At 35.9% G+C, this 20,545-nt stretch overlaps 1 pseudogene across 1 annotated transcript in view; it reads left to right on the forward strand.

The window, feature by feature from the left end:
• Positions 1-20,545, forward strand: part of CNTNAP3P2 (CNTNAP3 pseudogene 2) — a 237,697-nt pseudogene that overhangs the window by 202,054 nt on the left and 15,098 nt on the right. The window contains exons 16-21 of the transcript NR_111893.2: positions 1,891-2,061; positions 3,082-3,300; positions 5,643-5,882; positions 17,169-17,393; positions 18,963-19,096; positions 19,995-20,082. The product of NR_111893.2 is annotated as a CNTNAP3 pseudogene 2 (transcript). The remainder of the gene's footprint in view (positions 1-1,890; positions 2,062-3,081; positions 3,301-5,642; positions 5,883-17,168; positions 17,394-18,962; positions 19,097-19,994; positions 20,083-20,545) is intronic.

Here is a 20,545-nt window from a genome sequence, read left to right on the forward strand (position 1 = left end):
GGCTAGAAGCAATGACACCCTAGTAAATAGCCTGCAGATCTGGGCTTCTAAACACCATTTTCTGTCATTCTCTGCTAAAAAAGAAACCACGACTCCTTGAAGAAATGGCTGATTCCAGAAATGTGGCAGAGAAAATTTAAGATGAGCCTGGATCATTTTGTCATGACAAAGGGGAAAAAAAAAGCTGAAAAAGGCATGGGTGTCAGCTTAAAGGAGCTGCCACATTTGAGACAACTTAAGCATCAAAATAAGTTATAGAGTATAAACCATTGAATAGAATACAAATTCAAGAGTGACGTGAATAAACAAATGCATAAATACACAAATAAATTAGTAAAAGATCAAGAGAAAAGCTATTTCTTGGTTTGTTTATTTGTTTGTTTTTGAGATGGAGTCTCGCTCTGTTGCGCAGGCTGGAGTGCAGTGGCACGATCTCGGCTCACTGCAAGCTCCGCCTCCCGGGTTCACGTCATTCTCCTGCCTCAGCCTCCCGACTAGCTGGGACTACAGGCACCCACCACCATGCCTGGCTAATTTTTTGTATTTTTAGTAGAGACGGGGTTTCACCGTGTTAGCCAGGATGGTCTGGATCTCCTGACCTCATGATCCGTCCGCCTTGGCCTCCCAAACTGCTGGGATTACAGGCGTGAGCCACTGCACCTAGCCGAGAAAAGCTATTTCTGACGGAGGCATGTCAACCAATTAATGTGGAAGGAATGACAGAGCTTAGAAAATCACCATTGGCAGCCATCAGAATAAAAATTCAATCAGGAGCCATCAATATATTGTAAAACCATTGGATGAAAAAATTTTAAACTGGGTAAAGTTGTGTTTCTGTAACCTTAAAGTGTCAAAAATACATGAAAAAAGAGAAAAATAATAACTTCATGTTGGAGAAACTGGACAAATGCCACTTTACAAGGCACTTGAAACTAACAGGACCAGTGATGGGCTGATCAGCATTGCTGCCTGCTGCTGCGACACACTGAGGAGAACACAGCAGCCCTTCTGTGGTATTTTTGACAAAAATGCACAACATGAATCCAATCATGAGTATGTCAGACAAATCCAAGTTGAGGAACATTCTGCAAGTCAACTGAAAAATACCAAAAAGTCAAAAGTACACAGAAGATAAGAAAAGACTCACACACTGTACCAGAATAAAGGACACTAAAGAGGCCTGAGTAATACATGTGATGTGCAGTCCTGTGATGGGTTTTGGACAGAAGGGAACAAATAAGCTTCTTCTTGTTCTTGATTGTTCTTGCCATGAAAGGAATTAAGACAGTGTGTGTGTGTGTGTGTGTGTGTGTGTGTGTGTGTGTGTGTGTGTGTGTGCAGGAAGGAAAGCAAGAGTCTGTGTTCTGGCTTCTGGAGTCATTTATCCAACTACCTCCTTCAAATCTCCACTTGGATGCCTAATAGATATCTCAAATGAAGCATGTCCCAAACTGAGCTGCTGCTCGAACCTGCTTCTTTAGAATTATTTCCCTTCCTAGTTAGACCAAAAACCCCAAAGTCACCTCAGACTCCACCCTTCTTCTCACATCTTACCGAGTTCTTCAGTAAGTTCTGTTGGTCGTATCTTTGAGGTGATTCTGAACTTGACCCTGTCCCTACTGTGTTGCTGCGCGATCCCCTGACTGGTCTCATTGCTTTTGCTTCGCTTTTGTTTGGCCTTCTCTGAACACAGAATTCCAATCCTCAGCGTAATCACTATTTAGCTCTTGATGTCATCAGTATATGACATGGATGCTCAGAACCCCCAGTGAAAGCTCATATACATTCTATTAATGTATTTAGCAGTCATAATCCTGTAAGTATCAAATGTAGCTGTTATTTTTGTTTCATGACTTTTTTTCCTTTTGTCGTTTTCTCTATTGTAAACAGAGTCATTCTGGAATTCAGCTTCCTTCAACACTGAGACTTCATACCTTCATTTCCCTGCTTTCCACGGAGAACTCACTGCTGACGTGTGCTTCTTTTTTAAGACCACAGTTTCCTCCGGGGTGTTTATGGAGAACCTGGGGATCACAGACTTCATCAGGATTGAGCTGCGGGGTAAGCTGGCCACTCTGGACAAGTCACAGGATACCCATTATTTAGCAATAAAAGCTTTAACTCAACAAAATGGTAGTATTTCATTCTTACTTTGTGATTCTATTTCATTATAAAACACTAAACTTCTATGATTTTAGGTAATTTTTTGTTTTTGAGAGAGGGAGAGAGCATTTTGCTGTGTCACTCATGCTGGAGTGCAGTGGCATTATCTCGGCTCACTGCAACCTCAGCCTCCTGGGTTCAAGCAATTCTCCTGCCTCAGTCTCCTGAGTAGCTGGGACTATAGGCACGCACCACCATGCCCAGCTAATTTTTGTATTTTTAGTAGAGGTGGGGTTTTGCCATGTTGACCAGGCTGGTCTTCAACTCCTGGCCTCAAGTGATCCGCCTGCCTCGGGTTCCCAAAGTGCTGGGATTACAGGTGTGAACTGCCACACCCAGCCAGTAATCATTTTTAAGAGAAAATAAAACAATGAAGCACGTAATAATCCATTAAAATGTCATGCCTTTCCTAGAGTACTGAACAGCAGAGCCAGAGCTTTAAACCAAACTCATCACATTGTTTACTGAATTCCAAAAATATTTGACCAGACATATTGTTTTTTATGTACCCAAAGCTTAATTTATGACTGTCAAAATTTACATTCAGTGTTTATAGAATTAGATGAGACTTTGAGCCGTTTGTAAATAAAATTACTGAAACCTCAAAAACAAATACTATTTGGTATTCTAGCTATGGGTACATAGCTATGGGTAGTCCAGCTATGGGTACATATCTCTACTATTTAGGACTTAACAAGGTTGAATTGTGAACTCTGAGGATAAATATGTTAAAATCCGTTCTGTTTTCCTCCAGGATACAGATTTATTCTGCCCCCACCCCAACTCACAGTCTTGTTTTTCTGCATCGCCGTCATTATCTCCTTCCATCCTGAGCGTGCCTTCATGTTTTCCTGTGTCTGCACAAGACTCAATTTTCTGTGAATTTGCTTGAGCAATATTCATATCTAATATTTCTAGCTCCCACAGAAGTGACCTTTTCCTTCGATGTGGGGAATGGACCTTGTGAGGTCACGGTGCAGTCACCCACTCCCTTTAATGACAATCAGTGGCACCACGTGAGGGCAGAGAGAAATGTTAAAGGAGCGTCTCTTCAAGTTGATCAGCTTCCTCAGAAGATGCAGCCTGCCCCTGCTGATGGGCACGTTCGTTTACAGCTCAACAGCCAGCTCTTCATTGGTGAGTGCTGGTGGTTTATAACTGAATTTAGTGTGAGTCCAGAGAGGGACCAAAAGAAATTAAGAACTGTGATGTACTGAGAGCAACAGTTGCCAACAACTACTGCTTATTGGTACTATTTGCTGATAACCTGGTAGGTTCCAGGAGCTTGCTGTGTGCTTCTTATTTGACATTTCTTTTGTTTGTTTGTTTGTTTTTGTTTTTGTTTTCAGACAGAGTCTCACTGTGTCGCCCAGGCTGGAGTGCAGTGGTGCAATCTCAGCCCACTGAAACCTCCACCTGCCGGGTTCAAGCGATTCTCCTGCCTCAGCCTCCTGAGTAGCTGGGATTACAGGCGCAGGTGCCACCACGCCTGGCTAATTTTTGTATTTTTAATAGAGACACGGTTTTACCATGTTGGCCAGGATGGTCGTGATCTCTTGACCTGATGATCCACCCACCTCAGCCTCTCAAAGTGCTGGGATTACAGGCGCGAGCCACCGGGCCCTGCAGTATCTCAGTGTTTAGGTATCAATGTTTAGGTATTGTCATCTGTTTACAGATGAGATAGCCAAGCCTCAGAGAAGTGGAGTAACCAGCTAATGAGAGGGATCCCAGGATAGCCAACCCCCAAACTTGAACCATTCACAATGCAGAGGATTGGCATATGTGACAGCTATATTTTATCAACACTATTAGTGAGATCATTAGACATTTTTATCCATTCCTTCAGTTTCACTTCTCGGTGGAGTTAGAGAGCTTGTAATTGGGACAGAAGTCCTCCAGGGTCCACTCAAAACCAGATCGCAGGATACCCGCTGATTGGAAGCAGCACTGCGCACCTCCCCCGCGGCCAGGCTTCCAGGAGCCCACTCCCGGTTTTCCTCGCTGCTGTTCTCACTTCTGGGGCTCTCTCATCACAGGCTCCTTGTTTATAACCCGGTCTGGCTCATCTGTTCTTGCACTCCATTTATTTAAAGGTGATAGCTCTGGAAGTCTTTCCTTTAGTTTGCTTACTTACTGTTTTATCACTGTTGTTTATTTTTCCATATTGCTTTTGAAACTATTCTAACGTAGGAGCTACACAGATTAAAGCTCTCACTTGTTCATTCTTAAGTGTTTTAAAGCGAATAAGGATGCAATCTAATTAAAACTGGACTAAATCACAAATTATCATCCAACCTAATTTACAGGGGAGGGTAGATACAACTTCCAGGTACTAAATGTTACACATGAACCCATGTATGTATGTGGATGTGGATGGGGTGTTATACCATGACTTCCTAAAACCTAGCTTCAGGCGTGGTTAGCTCTTCTATTAAGTTGCAGTGAGGCTTTTTCAAAGGACATGAAACCATCAAACTACTGGAAAGGAGGACTACACGGAGGGGTCAAACCAAGAACTTGATTTTCTCACTTGTAATCTTGGAGATTATTTAAGGGAATGCCTAGAAACACAATTAGCATAAAATTCACCTAGAATCAGCATTCATTGCGGTGGATGAAGCACTGGCTTCAGAATCACCCACAAAGCTGATTGATAGTTCAGATTTGGGGCCCCCACCTTAGGCCACCGAATTGGAATCTCTGGGAGGAGGCTAAAAACTGCATTTTTCCAGAAACTCTAGGTAATTTCCATGCTCCTAACATTGAGAATTGTCGCCTTCGTAATGGTGTTTGTCACTACACAGGTGTTGTAAACCTCTCTAAATGGTTTCTTCAGCATTCAAGTTTGACATGACAAAATGTGCATGCATGCAGTATTCAATTACTGTTTAGCACTGTACCCTCTGAGAGGAGGAGATCCTGGGGTATGGTGTCACCCCTTCCAACTTCCCCTCCTTTGCTTATCCATTTCCTTTCACACTTTATTTTTAGAGTCCATCCAAGTAACAAATTTATCCATATATATTTTTATTATTGTGAAAAATTTGGAAGTTCATACCTAACCATTATAATGCACATTCTTATTCATAAAGAAATTAAAATAATGTTTGATGAATGCACATTCTTATTCCTAAACAAAGTAAAATAGTGTTTGATGTGATTTATATTATGTATTTTGTTCTTTGTAAAGGAACTAAAGTGAAATTCTTTCTTACCTGAAGTTAAGGAAATGTTTTTAGAAGGACTATTTGCCAGACTCACCATGTTTGAAAGTTATGTAAATAAATGTTTTATTCAATGTCATTTAAAGCTGCATATCTCATAACAGTTATATTTTCAAAATTGTATATGTTCACAAAATTTTTTGACACATTGTGATTATTGCCACTCTCCATAAGGCCTGAGTTTGACATGGACATAAAATCCTGAATAAAATACCAAGGAACACATTTCTATTTGCAGTGTTTCCGTTGTAGGTGGAACGGCCACCAGACAGAGAGGCTTTCTAGGATGCATTCGGTCTCTGCAGTTGAACGGGGTGGCCCTGGATCTTGAAGAAAGAGCCACAGTGATGCCAGGAGTGGAGCCAGGGTGTGCAGGACACTGCAGCACCTATGGACACTTGTGTCGCAATGGAGGGAGATGCAGAGAGAAACGCAGGGGGGTCACCTGTGACTGTGCCTTCTCAGCCTATGATGGACCGTTCTGCTCCAATGGTAAGTGTGACCAAGGAGCAGGTTATAGGGAAAGTACATGAAACTTAAATAGTATGAAGAATGCTTCTGGCATTTGATATTATAAAGAGAGGATAAGATTGAATTATTTGAAATGGAATAATTTCTGTACCAAATTCCTCTATTGAATTTAGAAGGGATATGACTGTTTTTGAAAACTTAAGGCTATCAGTCCTCTCTGGGTTTCTTATTTAGAAGATCTCTGGGTTACCCCAGCATCTGTTCAATGCTAATCCTCTTGAAATAATTTGGTTTTCAAAACTCTGTCCTTGTACTGTTCTAATTTTAACATCAGTAAAGCATCATTCTTATTTTTGTTTTTAATTTTTAGAGACAACGTATTGCTATTCAAGCCTCTCTGTTGCCCAGGCCGGACTTGAACTCCTAGGCTTGAGCAATCGTCTTACCCATTGTCCCTTGTGACAGTGACTTTAAGTGATTCAAAAGGCCTTTATAGAAATGTCTTTTCTTATAAAACAAACATACTAACTAGAAGGGGAAAAGAATACTTAAATATTGACAGTCATTAACAGGATCACTCAAACACTTTGCTCTATGATGTTTGACTCTTCTTAGAGGAGTGCAGTGGGGTATCACACAGCTTCTGCTCAGGTACAATCATGTTTTCAAAAGAAAAGGGCTGGGCGTGGTGGCTCATGCCTGTAATCCCAGCACTTTGGGAGGCCAAGGCAGGCGGATCACGAGGTCAGGAATTCAAGACCAGCCTGGCCAACATGGTGAAACCTCATCTTTACTAAAAATACAAAAATTAGCAGGGCATCCCAGCTACTCGGGAGGCTGAGGCAGGAGAATTGCTTGAACCCGGGAGGCAGAGGTTGCAGTGAGTCGAGATCGCACCACTGCACTCACTCCTGGGCGACAGAGTGAGACTCCGTCTTGGGGGAAAAAAAAAAGAAAAGGAAAAAGGGACTGATTTTAGTATTAAGTACTCTGTACTGACTTATTTAATATATTTGTAATACTTTTATGAAACCTCTTACAATATTGATTCATCAGAGCTAAAATGTAATTGTGTGTTTAAGTGTCTCTGGGCTGTTACACTTACTATTTTTAGCAGCAAAACAGGCTTTAATCACTATAAATTGTGTGACTTTCAAAAGAATTTTGAGGATTCATTATCTAGAAGTCATTTAAATTTTCAGAAGGTCTTGCATATGTCTTTTATTAGTCCTGAAGATCTCTGTGCTCACAAATCTCATAGCTCTGGTGCAAATACAGAGCTCTTTTTATATCTCAAGCCAACATCAGGAGTAACCACTCCTTCATGAGCACAAGTGCTGATTTCTAAATCATTCCCAATCCACATTTGCTAAGTGCAATTTGAATGTTATTTTATAACCCAAAATTTTCTTAAGGATAGACATTATATGGTAAGTAAATGGAAAATGGTCCTCCAGTGGCTGGGGCATATGTTATAGTTAGATTACCTAATCTAATAAGAATGATCTGGATTTTCAGTAAATTCTTTATATTTTATGGAAATGGAAAGAGTGGAGTAGTATTCCAAGACAGTGATCATCACCCAACATTTTCTTTTTATTTACAGATACATTTGGGGTGTGTGTGTATGTGTATGTGTGTACTAAACACATTTTTGGAATTAACTTGATATAAAATTAAAATATCAACCTTTCATAAAGTGTTTTAAGAGAAGCTGAAAGACCTTCAACTTTTCTCTCTCAGAATACTGTAGATACCACTTTGGATTAGCCTTTCTATCCAGACAGTAAATTTGAGAAACATCTTTGGCATAAAAGAACATTTCTAAATTCTGACCTTGAAGGAGGGTTGGTCTTCAAATCACCTTTTCTCTAGTTACTTCAGGAGCTCTGTTTCATGCTTCCTACAAAGCAAATCGATTTTTAAAGAGGAGGTAACATTCAAATAAAAAACCTGGTACTCTGGCATTTCCAGGCTGGCCACATAAGGAGCTCTGTAAACCCTCTCTCATACGAAACAGGCATAACTAGTAAAAATTATTATTTTAAAAAACAACTATTGAAAGTCTTTAGAAAATGTCCTAAGGAAATACATCCAATGGAGAAACATTTATTAATCAGTAATAACAGTGAGAGTTTGAGGCATTTAAGCCAAGACCCTCTCCCTGCACCTCCCCATCCCTAGCTCAGTATGACGGAAGCTCCACTCTATATGGATATAGCCAAGAAGCCAAAGGTTTCCTCTCTACCCAGGTCCTACTACAGAGATACTGCATTACCCCAAGATTGGGTGCCAGCATTTCTTGTCATCCCCAGTTTTGTAGGACAGAAGCTCTGTCCACGCAGAAACAGCTGAGAAGTCTGGGGTTTCCTTCCTACACCAACTCCTCATTCCAGGACATAAGGTCTTCAGGTGTGGCAGCTGGAAAAATCCTGTGTCCCAATTGCCCTCACTCCAGCTTACTTGTAAGGAACAGTTTCTCCACCAGGAGAGGCAAGGCAAGAAGTTACCTTTCCCACCCTGTGCCCTACTTGTAAGCAGAGGTTTTACTACAAAGGAGCAGGCCACTCTCACTCTCCACAGCTTCAGAGCAGTGAGGCACATTTAACCAAGAGGTAGAGGGAGGCCATGAAAATACACAGCTTGGTAGCCCTCCCCAAGTGAACTGATTTCTATTTGGAACAGAGCATGGATAAGTTTAAGCTAGTGGTATGAAGATATTGGCAGTAAGCAATTAAGAGAATGTTGATAACTCCAAGAGAGTAATGAGTTAAGCCAGGGAAGTTTAACAGAGAAAAGAAAAAAGAATCAGCAAACTTGAAGCAAGATCAGTAGAGATTATGTATCCTGAAGAATACAGAGAAATAATAATGAAAAAAATAAACAGATCATCAGAGAAATATCAGACATAACTAAGCACACCAACATATACGTAATTGAAAACACCAGGAGAGAGAGAAAGGATCAGAAAAAAATATTTGAAAAATAATGGTTGAAAACATTCCCAAATTAATAAAAATCATTAATCTAAGATACAGAAGCTCAGTGAAATACAGATGACACAAAGAAGTTTATATCCAGACACATCTTATTAAAAACTTTGAAAGCCAAAGTCAAGAAGGAAATTTTAAAAGCAGTAAGAGAAAAATCATATATACAAGGAAACGCCAGGATCAACAGCTAACTTCTAATCTGAAAGAATGGAGGCCAAAGGACAGTGAGATAACATATTCAAAGAGATGAAAGAAAACCATTGTCATGAAGAAACTTACACCCAGCACAACCATCTTTCATGTTCAGTAGCACAGGATGACTATAGTTAACAATAATTTATTGTATATTTCAAAATAACTAGAAGAGTGGAACTGGAATGTTCCTAACAAAAAGAAATGATAAATGTTTAAGGTGATGGATATCTCAGTTACCCTGATTTGATCATTACACATTGTTTGGTTGTATCAAAATATTACCTCTACCCCATAAATACATACAACTATTAGGTATTCATAAAAACTAAAAATTATAAAAGATAGTAAATATATCCCTACTTACAAAAAGCAGAGAATTCACTGCTATTAGCCTGCATTAGAGGAAATAACAAAGAATGTTCCTTCAGGTTGAAGGGACATAACCCAGACAATAATCTGAATCTACACACAAAAAACAAATAGCACTAATAAAAGTAAGTGTGCAGGTAATTATAAAAGAAAGTATAATGTCATATTTCTTACCCTTTTCAGTGCTTAACTATTTTAAAAAGCAATGTATAAAACTATAATAGAGAATATACAAATATATAATGTATATATTTTCATTGTTGGGCCTATAGAAATATATTACAAAAAAACAGCACAGAGGAGACAGATGGCAGCAAGGCTGTACTGAAATAAGGAATAACACCAAATGGTAACATGAGTCAGAGGAACAAAGAAAGAGAACTAGAAATGGTAAATAAGAGAGTTTATAGACAAAGTCTATAAATATTTATTTGATCTTTTTTCTTTTCTCAGATTTTTTAAAAAGAGAACAAATTATATAAACTAATAATGGGTTTGGTATGCATAAAAATAGTTCCAAAAGAGAAGAAATAGAGCTATGTAGAAATAACTTTTCTAAATCTCACTTGTATTAAGTTAGTGTAAACCTGAAGCAGATTATTGATAAGATATATATAATGCAAGCTTAGAGCAATCACTAAAGAAAATAAAACATTGTCATGAAGTATATTAAAAGGCCTATATACCAAAAACTAGTAGGATTTATCCCAGGATTTCAGGAGTGGTTCAACAAATGAAAATCAGTCAACATATTACACAAGATTAATAGAATGAGAGGGGAAAAAAAACATGATTATCTTAATTGTTGCTGAAAAAAAAAACATTTAACAAACTCCAGTAACCTTTCATGATTGAAAAACAAAAACACTCAATAAACTAGGAATAGAAGGGAACTTTCTCAATATGATAAAGGCCATATATGAAAAACCTGCAACTAACATCATACTCAATGGTGAAAGCTTCTTCCGTAAAATAAGAAACACAACAAGTATGCCCAGTTTTACCACCTCTATTTATCATAGTACTGGAAGTTCCAGCTAAAGTCATTAAGCAAGAAGAAGAAATAAAAGGCATCCAAATTTCAATAGAAAGGCTATCTCTCTCTCAGATTACCTTATCTTATATGTAGAAAACTCTTCAGAAAATAAAAGCTGTTAAGAGAAAATAAATAAATTCAGCAAAGTTGCAGGATACAAAATTAACACCAAAAATTTGGTTGTATTTCTCTACACTAGCAATGAAAAATCTGAAAGTGAGATTAAGGAAACAATTCCATTTGCAATATCATCAAAAAGAATAAAAAACTTAGAAATAAACTTAACTGAGAAAGTGAAAGACTTAGACATTGAAAACTATAAAACGTTGTTGAAAGAGATTAAAGAAAGAACTAAATAGATGGAAAGACATTCCATATTCATGAATTGGAAAACTTGAGATTATTAAAATGACAATACAACCCCAGCAGATTCAATCTAATTCTTATCAGAATCCCCAAAGCACTTTTTATACAAATGAAAAAGCCCCTATCAATATTTAAATAAAATTTGAAAAAGCCCAGAATAAGCAAAACAATTTTACAAAAGAACAAAGTTGGAGGATTCACCCTTCTTGACTTCAAAACTTACTATAAACTACATTATTCAAAACAATGTGGTACTGAATGAGGATAAACCTATAAATCAATGGAATAGAGCTGAGAGGCCAGAAATAAACCTACATACATACAGTCAATTGATGTTTAACATAGTCTTTGTCAAGATCATTCAGTAGGGAAGTAACAGTCTATTCAACATAAAGGTAGGAAAAGTGGATGTTCACATGCAAAGATTGAAGTTAGACCCTTACCAAAATTAACTCAAAATGAATCAAAGTTTTAAATCTAAAAGCTAAAACTATAAAATTTTTAGAAGATATATAGGCAGATCTTCATGATCTTGGATTTGGCAGTGGTTTTTTAAAAATCACCCCAAAAGCACGGGCAACAACAACAACAAAAATAGATTATTTGGACTTTATAAAATTTAACAACTTCTGTGTATCAAAGAACACTATCAAGAGAGTAAAAAGACAATCCACAGAATGTGATAAAATATTTGCAAATTATGTATCTGATGGAGGTTCACTATCTAGAATATGTTAATAATTTCCACAACTTAACAACAAAAAGTCTAATTGGACAAAGGACTTGATGAGACATTTCTCCAAAAAGATATACAAAGAGTCAATAATCACATGGAAAGATGATACTCGACATCATTAGTTATTAAAGAAATGCAAACGAAAAGTATAATGAGCTGCCTCTTCAAACCTACTAGATTGACTATAAAAATAAATAAATAAATAAATAAAAACAGAAAATAACAAGTTTTGGCAAGAACCTAGAGAAATTGGAACTCTCTTTTGTTACTGGTGGGAAAGTAAATGCCACAGCCACTGTAGAAATTGATTTAGAGTTAACTCAAAATAGTTAAACATAGAATTACCTTCGAACCCAGCAATTCCACTTCTACATATATAACCAAAACAATTGAAAACAAGAACTCAAGCAGATACTTGTATACAAATGTTCATAGTAGCACTAATCACAATAGTGGAAATAATACAAGTGTCCGTCAACACATGAATTGATTAAAAAATGTAGTGTATACATATAATGGTATATTGTTCAGCCATTAAAAGGAATGAGGTTCTGATACATGATACAACATTAATTAACATAGAAGACATTATGCTAAGTGAAATAAGCCAGACCCAAGAGGGCAGATATTATATAACTTCATGTTTACTAGATATCAATAGACAAATTTGTAGAGACAAAGTAGATTCAAGGATACCAGCAGCTGAGATGAGGGGGCAATGGAGAGTTATTGCTTAATGAATACAGTTTAATTTTGGGATGATGAAAAATTTTGGATATCAAAAGAGGTGATAATTGCACAACATTGTGAATTTAATTAATGCTACTGAATTTCATATTTTAAATGGTTAAGTGGCAAATTATATATTATATATATTTTACCCCAAAGTATAGTGAAATCAAGAAAGAAATTAAAATGTTACACTCCAAAATATCCACCAACACAAAATAATAAGTCAGAAGGAAAGTGACAAGAAAACAAATGAAACACATAGAAAAAGAAAAAGAAAATGGCAGATGTAAATCTAACTGTATCAATAATAATATTAAATGTTCATCGATTGAGCAATCCAATCAAAAGACAAATATTGTCAGAATGGATAACAAAAGAAATCTTAACTATATGCTGTCTAAGGACATACAATTTAGATTGAAAGGGGTAATTTAGTTGAAAATAAAAGAAGGGAAAACATGTACCATGCAAAGAGTAACCCTAGAGAGCCAAAGGGACTATACTAATACCAGAAAAAATAAACTCTAAAACAAAAGGTGCTACTAGAAATAGGGAAACTTATATAATGATAAAAAGTTAATTCCCTCAAAAAGATATAACAATTACAAACTTATATGCAGTTAATAATATAGCCCCAAATTGCATAAAGAATACCTGACAGAACTGAAAAGAGAAATAGAAAAACCAGGAATAAAACCTGGAGGATTCAATACTTCACTTTCAATAAAGGATAGAATAATTACTCAGAAGATTACCAAGAAAATAGAGTTGAAAAAAATAAAAACGCAATCATTCTAACACACATCTGTAGAACACACCACTTAACAATAGCAGAATGTATATTCTTCTCAAGTGTTCATGGAACATATTCTAGGTTAGACAACATGCTACCTGTAAATCAAGCCTCAACACATTTAAAAGGATTGAAATCATATGAAGGGTCTTTTTAAAACACAATGAGATGAAATTAATAACATAAAGAAATTGTGGAATATCACAAATATGTGGAAATTAAACTATACACTCCGAAATCAAAAGGGAAATTAGAAAAGGTTTTGAGATAAATGAAAGCAAAAATACAACATTACTAAAACATATAGTAACACAGCTAAAGCAGGGTTTAGAGGGAATTTTAAAGCTGTAAACATCAATATTTAAAAAGAAAAATGGTTCCCAAATAAAAAACCTGACCTGCCACCTTAAGACACTGAAAAAAGAAGAGCAAACTAAATCTAATGTAAGGAGAAACAGGAAATAATAAATAAAACAGGAGAAATTTCTCAAATGGATAATATAAAAGTGACAGAAAAAATTAACCAAACCAAAAGTCAGTCCTTTAAAATTGTTAACAAAATTGGCAAACCTTTAGTACAACTGACCAAGAATAAAAGAGATGATTCAAATTACTAGAATGACATATGAAAGAGTGATATTACTACCAACCTTACAGAAATAACATGGATTGCAAGAGAATATAAACAACTGTATGTTGAAAAAAATTACATAACTTAGATAAAATGGACGAATTCCTAGGATGACACTAACTACAAAATTAACACAAACTACTACTTCTGTTTCAAGAAGGAGGAGAAAATATAAATTGGCCTATAACAATAAAAGGAATGCCTTAATAATATTAAAATACCACAGAAAGTAAAGCCCAGGTCCAGATGGTTTCAAACAATTGATGCTATCAACTATCAGAATATATCAACTATTTAAAAATATATCAACTATTTAAATAAGAAGTATTAATTCTTCAAAACTCTTCCAAAAAATAAAAGAGAAAGGAGCATTTTTCAACTTATTCTGTAAGGTCAGTATTTCCCTAATACCAAAGCCAGACATAGATATACCAGTATATATATTTTAAATCTACAGACCAATATCATTTAAGTAGATAGATGTGAAAACCCTGAACAGAGTATTACCAAAGCAAATCCAGTCACATATAAAAATGACTATACATCAAGACAAAGTGGAAATGATCCCAGAAATGGAAAGTTGTTTTAACAGCTGAAAATCAATTAATATAATATACTATATCTTAGAATAAAGGACAGAAACACATGATAGGCTCTACTGATGCAGAAAAGTCATTTGATAAAATCCAACATCCTTTCATGAATTTTTGTTTAAATTCAGTAAACTAATTATAGACGATAACTTCCTCAGTCTAACAAATGGTATTTTTGAAAAACTCATAGCTAAAATTATATTTAATTTTAAAGACTGAATTTTTTTTCCTAAGATCAAGAATGAGACAAGAATGTATACTCTCACTAGTTCTATTCAGCATTGTACTAGAGGTTCAGGCCAGACTGATTAGGCAAGAAAATGAAAAAAAAAAAAAAAGAAGAAAAACATCCAAATTAGAAAGGAAATAAAACTATCTCTATTTGAGGATGACATGATTTTTTATATAAAAAAATCCCAAAGAATCTACTTAGAACAATTAAAACTAAAACCAAGTTCAACAAAATTGCAGAATGCAAAAACAATATACAAAATCAATTGTATTTCTACAAATTAGCTGTGAACCATCTGAAAATAAAACCAATAAAACAATTTTATTTACAGTAGCATCAAAAAGAATAACATACATAGCAATACATTTAACAAAAGAAATGGAAAACACACTGAAAACTATAAAGCATTGAAAGAATTTAAAGGTAAATAAATGGAGAGATATTTCATGTCATGGATTGAATAATTAATATAAATAAAATACCAGTGTTCTCTAAAGTAATATACAGATTCAGTACAGTTTCAATCAATATCCCAGCTGGCTTCTTTCCTGAAATTGACAAGCTGATTTCATATGAAAATTTAAATGATGCAGAATAGCCAAAACAATCTTTAAGAAGAAGAAATTTGATAGATTCACACTGCCCAATTTCTAAACTTAATGTAAAGCAGTATATAACTGGCCTAAGACTAAACAGATAGCTCATTGGGATAAAATTGAAAGTCCAGATAGATACCTCGCCATTTATGGTCAATGGATTTTACAAGAGTGCCAGGACAACCCAATGGGAAGAAGTAGTCTCTGAGACTACTGAGTATACATGCACATGCAAATGAATGAAATTAGACCTCTATCTCACACATACATAAAAATGTACCAAATAGACCTCAATGTAAGAACTAAAACTATAAAACTGTTAAAACATGGGAGAACAAAAGAGAAGATAACCCACAGAATGGAAGAAATTATTGCAAATCATGTCTCTTATAAGGGTCTAGTATTCAAATTATTTAAAGAGCTTTTACAACTGAATAAGATGCCGTGTGTGGTGGCTCACACCTGTAATCCCAGCATTTTGGGAGGCCGAGGTGGGCAGATCACGAGGTCAGGAGTTCGAGACCATCCTGGCTAACACAGTGAAACCCCATCTCTACTAAAAATACAAAAAATTAGCCGGGCGTGGTGGCGGGCGCCTGTAGTCCCAGCTACTCGAGAGGCTGAGGCAGGAGAATGGCGTGAACCCAGGAGGCAGAGCTTGCAGTGAGCAGAGATCACGCCACTGCACTCCAGCCTGGGCAACAGAGTGAGACTCTGTCTCAAAAAAACAAAAATAAAAACAAAAAACCAACAACTGAATAAGAAAAAGAAATTTAACCTAATTAAATAATAGGTAAAGCTTATAAGTAAATATTTCTTCAGCAAATATGTGTGAATGTCCAATAAAATCATGAAAAAATAGTTGGCAACATTAGCCAGTAGGCAATCAAAGTCACAATGAAATACCTCTTCACACAGACAAGTATAGCTGTAATTTAAAAGAATGATAATAATAAATGTTGGTGAGGATGTGGAGATATTAAAACCCTCATGATTGCTGTTTGAAATGTAAAATGGTATAGCTATTTTGGAAAAAATATGGCAGCTCCTCCAAATTTTAAAGTTGGTGTTATCATAAGATTGAACAATTTTACTCCTAGGTATATATTCCTAAGAAAAATAAAAATGTATCCATAGAAAAACTTACACGTGAATTTTCATGGAAGCATTATTTATAATAGTCAAAAAGTGGAAACAACCCAAATGTCTATCAACTGTTAAATAGATCCGCAAAATGTGGCACATCCATTACTATTTACATCCAATGAAATATTATTCAATAAAATGCATAAAATACTGACACACGCTACAAGATGGATGAACCTTGAAAATACCATGTTAAGTGAAAGAGGCCAGATTGAAAAGACCACACGTTATATGATTCCACTGATATGAAATCTCTCGAATAGGAACCTCTGCAGAGACAGAAAGTAAATTAGTAGTTGCCTAGGCTGGGGTGTTGGGGAGAAACAGAGAATGACTGCTAGAGGTTATGGAGGTTTTTGTAGGAGGGAATAAGAAGGTGCTCGGGGGAGGGGAGTGAAAATACTCTAAAATTGATCATGGCAATGTTTGCACATGCCTGCAAATATACTAAAAGACATAGAATTTTACACTGTAATTGGGTCTATTACATGGCATATGGATTATATCTGAATAAAGATGTTTAAAAATTAATGATTTGGGAAAAAATTGAAAACCAAAGATGAGATAAGTCACCTATAAATTATACATTTATACTGAAGAATTAGTTATATGTAAATATAAGATGAGGATGATTTGGAGAATTAAAATCTCTATTAAGTGTTAGTCAATTCTGGGTTATGAGTATATTGGAGTTTGCTACTTTTTCTTCAAGTTGTAGTTTTTAAAAAACTTTAAAAAGTGAAAAATAAAAAATAAAACAGGAAAGGATTTCACTATTACTTTATCTCCCAGGATATTTAAGGTTTGGTCTCATTCTCTAAATGTACTTAAAACAAGACCGTTGGACTTACATTTTGTTAACATAACAAAAATGTATTTATCATTTCAGAGATTTCCGCATATTTCGCAACTGGCTCCTCAATGACATACCATTTTCAAGAACATTACACTTTAAGTGAAAACTCCAGCTCTCTCGTTTCTTCATTACACAGAGATGTAACATTGACCAGAGAAATGATCACACTGAGCTTCCGAACCACACGAACTCCGAGCTTATTGCTGTATGTGAGCTCTTTCTATGAGGAATACCTTTCAGTTATCCTCGCCAACAATGGTGAATATCTTTTGTGTAAAGAAAAAGAGAACCCTGAGTTAGAAAAATAGGACTGTAATGACATGGGTCTTTTCAGCAGTCAAACTACAAACGATGAGAGAAAACTGTATGCCCTCCAATGGGTTTGGTTTTTCAGTGCCTCCCTTAATGGTTATTATAAAAGCTAGCATTTCAAGATTAAATTAAGATGCTTTTCTCCCATTACATGTTTGATAATTTAACGGAGTTGATATGCAGTTATATTTCTTATTATTGATAGGATGACTTTAATAGTACATGATGACTCAAATTGGTTTTGCAGTTCATTTTGAAATAAGATATCTAGATACATGACATACATTCCCTCCTCATTCTAAGCAAAATAGAGGAGCATTTATGTGGATGTTATAGTGCAACTATATAAAAGCCAATTCCTATAAGCAACAGATAAGTACAGCTGTTCTTTATCTCGTCAGTGGCTGAAAAACTAGTTATATCACTTTTATAGAAGAAAAGTGTAATGACAGCCTCTCAAACAGTGGTAATTGGGGCGTTGCAAGGTTTTCACAGTTGAACAAGAAGACCAAGCTTTAAGTTTGTTAGGTACACAGCACAAAAATTTCATGTCTAGAAAAAAATCTACAAAATCTCTGATTAGGCTGGACACGGTGGCTCACGCCTATAATCCCAGCACTTTGGGAGGCCAAGGCGGGTGGATCACGAGGTCAGGAGATCGAGACCATCCTGGCTAACACGGTGAAACCCCATCTCTACTAAAAATACAAAAAATGAGCCGGGCATGGTGGTGGGCACCTGTAGTCCCAGCTACTCGGGAGGCTGAGGCAGGAGAATGGCGTGAACCCAGGAGGCGGAGCTTGCAGTGAGCCGAGATCGCGCCACTGCACTCCAGCCTGGGTGACAGAGCGAGACTCCACCTCAAAAAAAAAAAAAAAAAAAAATCTCCGATTAACAGGATCTTAGTATAAGCTAAAAGAGAATTACAGATAATGAGGGTACATCTGTGTAGGAGAGGAGTATGTATATTAGAAGATGTAGATACTATGGAAACCTTGTCTCCTGACAAAACCCTTTCTTGTCCTCATTTTTGGATTATGGCAGAAGACTTAAAATAATCTGGCTATAAAAAATCTTTATGCACATATCAGTAATACATTAAAATGAGCCTTATTAGAAGTTATAATTACAGGAACTGAATGTTGATACAATATTGCATAGAGTTTCATCATTTCATAAATATCAAAGTCATAATGAATTTAGATCTGAGTTCTGAGCTCATATGCATAATTTAAACCTTTTCATTTTTAAATGAAAAGCTTTGGGGAGACTGCTTATTAACAACACATTTAGTCTTGACTTTTAAAATAGCATCATTGGACTCAGAGTCTGGCACAGGAATAGCACCTAAGTAATCACTGTTCCAGGAAAGATAACTATTGGGTGCATCTAAATTGATGCTAAATAGATTCAAAAGTGCTATAAGTAAATAATAATAAAAGTGCTCTAGAATCTGTATCAAGAGTTTTATAAAATACCACTTTAATTTTAAATGCCATTTATTTTTCTTTTTAGGAAGTTTGCAGATTAGGTACAAGCTAGATAGACATCAAAATCCTGATGCATTTACCTTTGATTTTAAAAACATGGCTGATGGGCAACTTCACCAAGTGAAGATTAACAGAGAAGAAGCCGTGGTCATGGTAGAGGTAATCCCACAAATGCAAAAGTCAAACTAACTAATATTATTATTTTGAGAACAAATAATCTAATGAAAAAATTTGATAATAAATATTAATAGAAGAGCAACCCATTCAGTGCTGCTCTTCCATAAGTCAAGAAGAGGCTAAATATGGCCAGGATCTGGGAGAGAGGAGGTGGTTGTTTATTCTGTATTGCTTTGTTTTGTTTGTTTAGCAATGCAATTCCGTCAAAGGTATTATTAATATTTTACTATTTAAAATATCAAAATATCTTTATTTGTTTTACTTTACTCAATAGGGGAATGTTCTCTAGTTTATCATAGTGACTACTGGTGGAATCTATTCATTGATATTGCAGTGGGAACTTGTCTTATTCCGATTATAAAAGAACAAATACTTTAGCAACTTAAAAACACGGTTTAAAAGCACACAACATAGTTATTAAAATGGGAATAAGTAAGAAAATAGACCTGAGTCACCACAGAGGAAGTAAATTACACATTGTCATTGGCATTGGAAGGAAAATATACTGTATAGAGAACAGCAGTGCTTGGTTTTATGTTTCATATTTTCTCCACAGAATGAGTACGTATTTAAGTTTAAAACAGCCAGTTCCATCTTTTTCATGGATTCTGCCAATTATAGATCCTTCCATTATGAAGAAGAGTAAAGCCAGCAAGTGGGTACATCGTGGATAGGGTGGTAGCTGATGGCATCATAGGAATTGCTTATAAAATAGCTTCCCCTTCTAAATGATTAATTATTTGAAGGTGGCTTCTTGAGCTTTTGTAGTGGTACTTAAAAGTGATTTATTTTCATCTTTCCTTTCCTCATCTTCCTTTGCTTCCTTATCATTAAAATTGTACTTTGTGTTGATGTTTGCTTCTCATGGGACATCTAATAGGTTAACCAGAGCGCAAAGAAACAAGTCATCTTGTCCTCAGGGACAGAATTCAACGCCGTCAAATCTCTCATATTGGGAAAGGTTTTAGGTAAGTAGGAGAAAGAGCTTTTTCCCAAAAAATCTAAGTGTCATGTCACAAACTCTGGAAGCATTCATCATGCTGAAAGAAGCTCCTTGTCTTACTTGAATAATAATTTCACAGTGAGTGACAATCAAGGTGCAAACTGTACTCTTGCCTGAGTGTACATATAATCATGAGTAAGTGCTGCCTGTGAGATGTGCAAGGGCGTTCCTGGAAAAATACCTCCACACTTAACCTCTCACTTGGCAATCATGCATAATGAATCACGGTATTTTTCTAACCCTTCTTGAAAAGTGAAATGTTATCAAAGCTGACACGAAGTTCACAGATTATGTATGTATTAATCAACATCAACTCCGGAGACCATCATTCAATGATAAAACTACATTTGAGTTGAACACAAGAGAAAAAACTGGTAATCTTATTACAGCAGATGAATACAGTTTTATTTCTCTCTCAAGCCCTGCTT

Source organism: Homo sapiens, chromosome 9 (genome assembly GCF_000001405.40).
Source record: "Homo sapiens chromosome 9, GRCh38.p14 Primary Assembly".
NCBI lineage: Eukaryota > Metazoa > Chordata > Mammalia > Primates > Hominidae > Homo > Homo sapiens.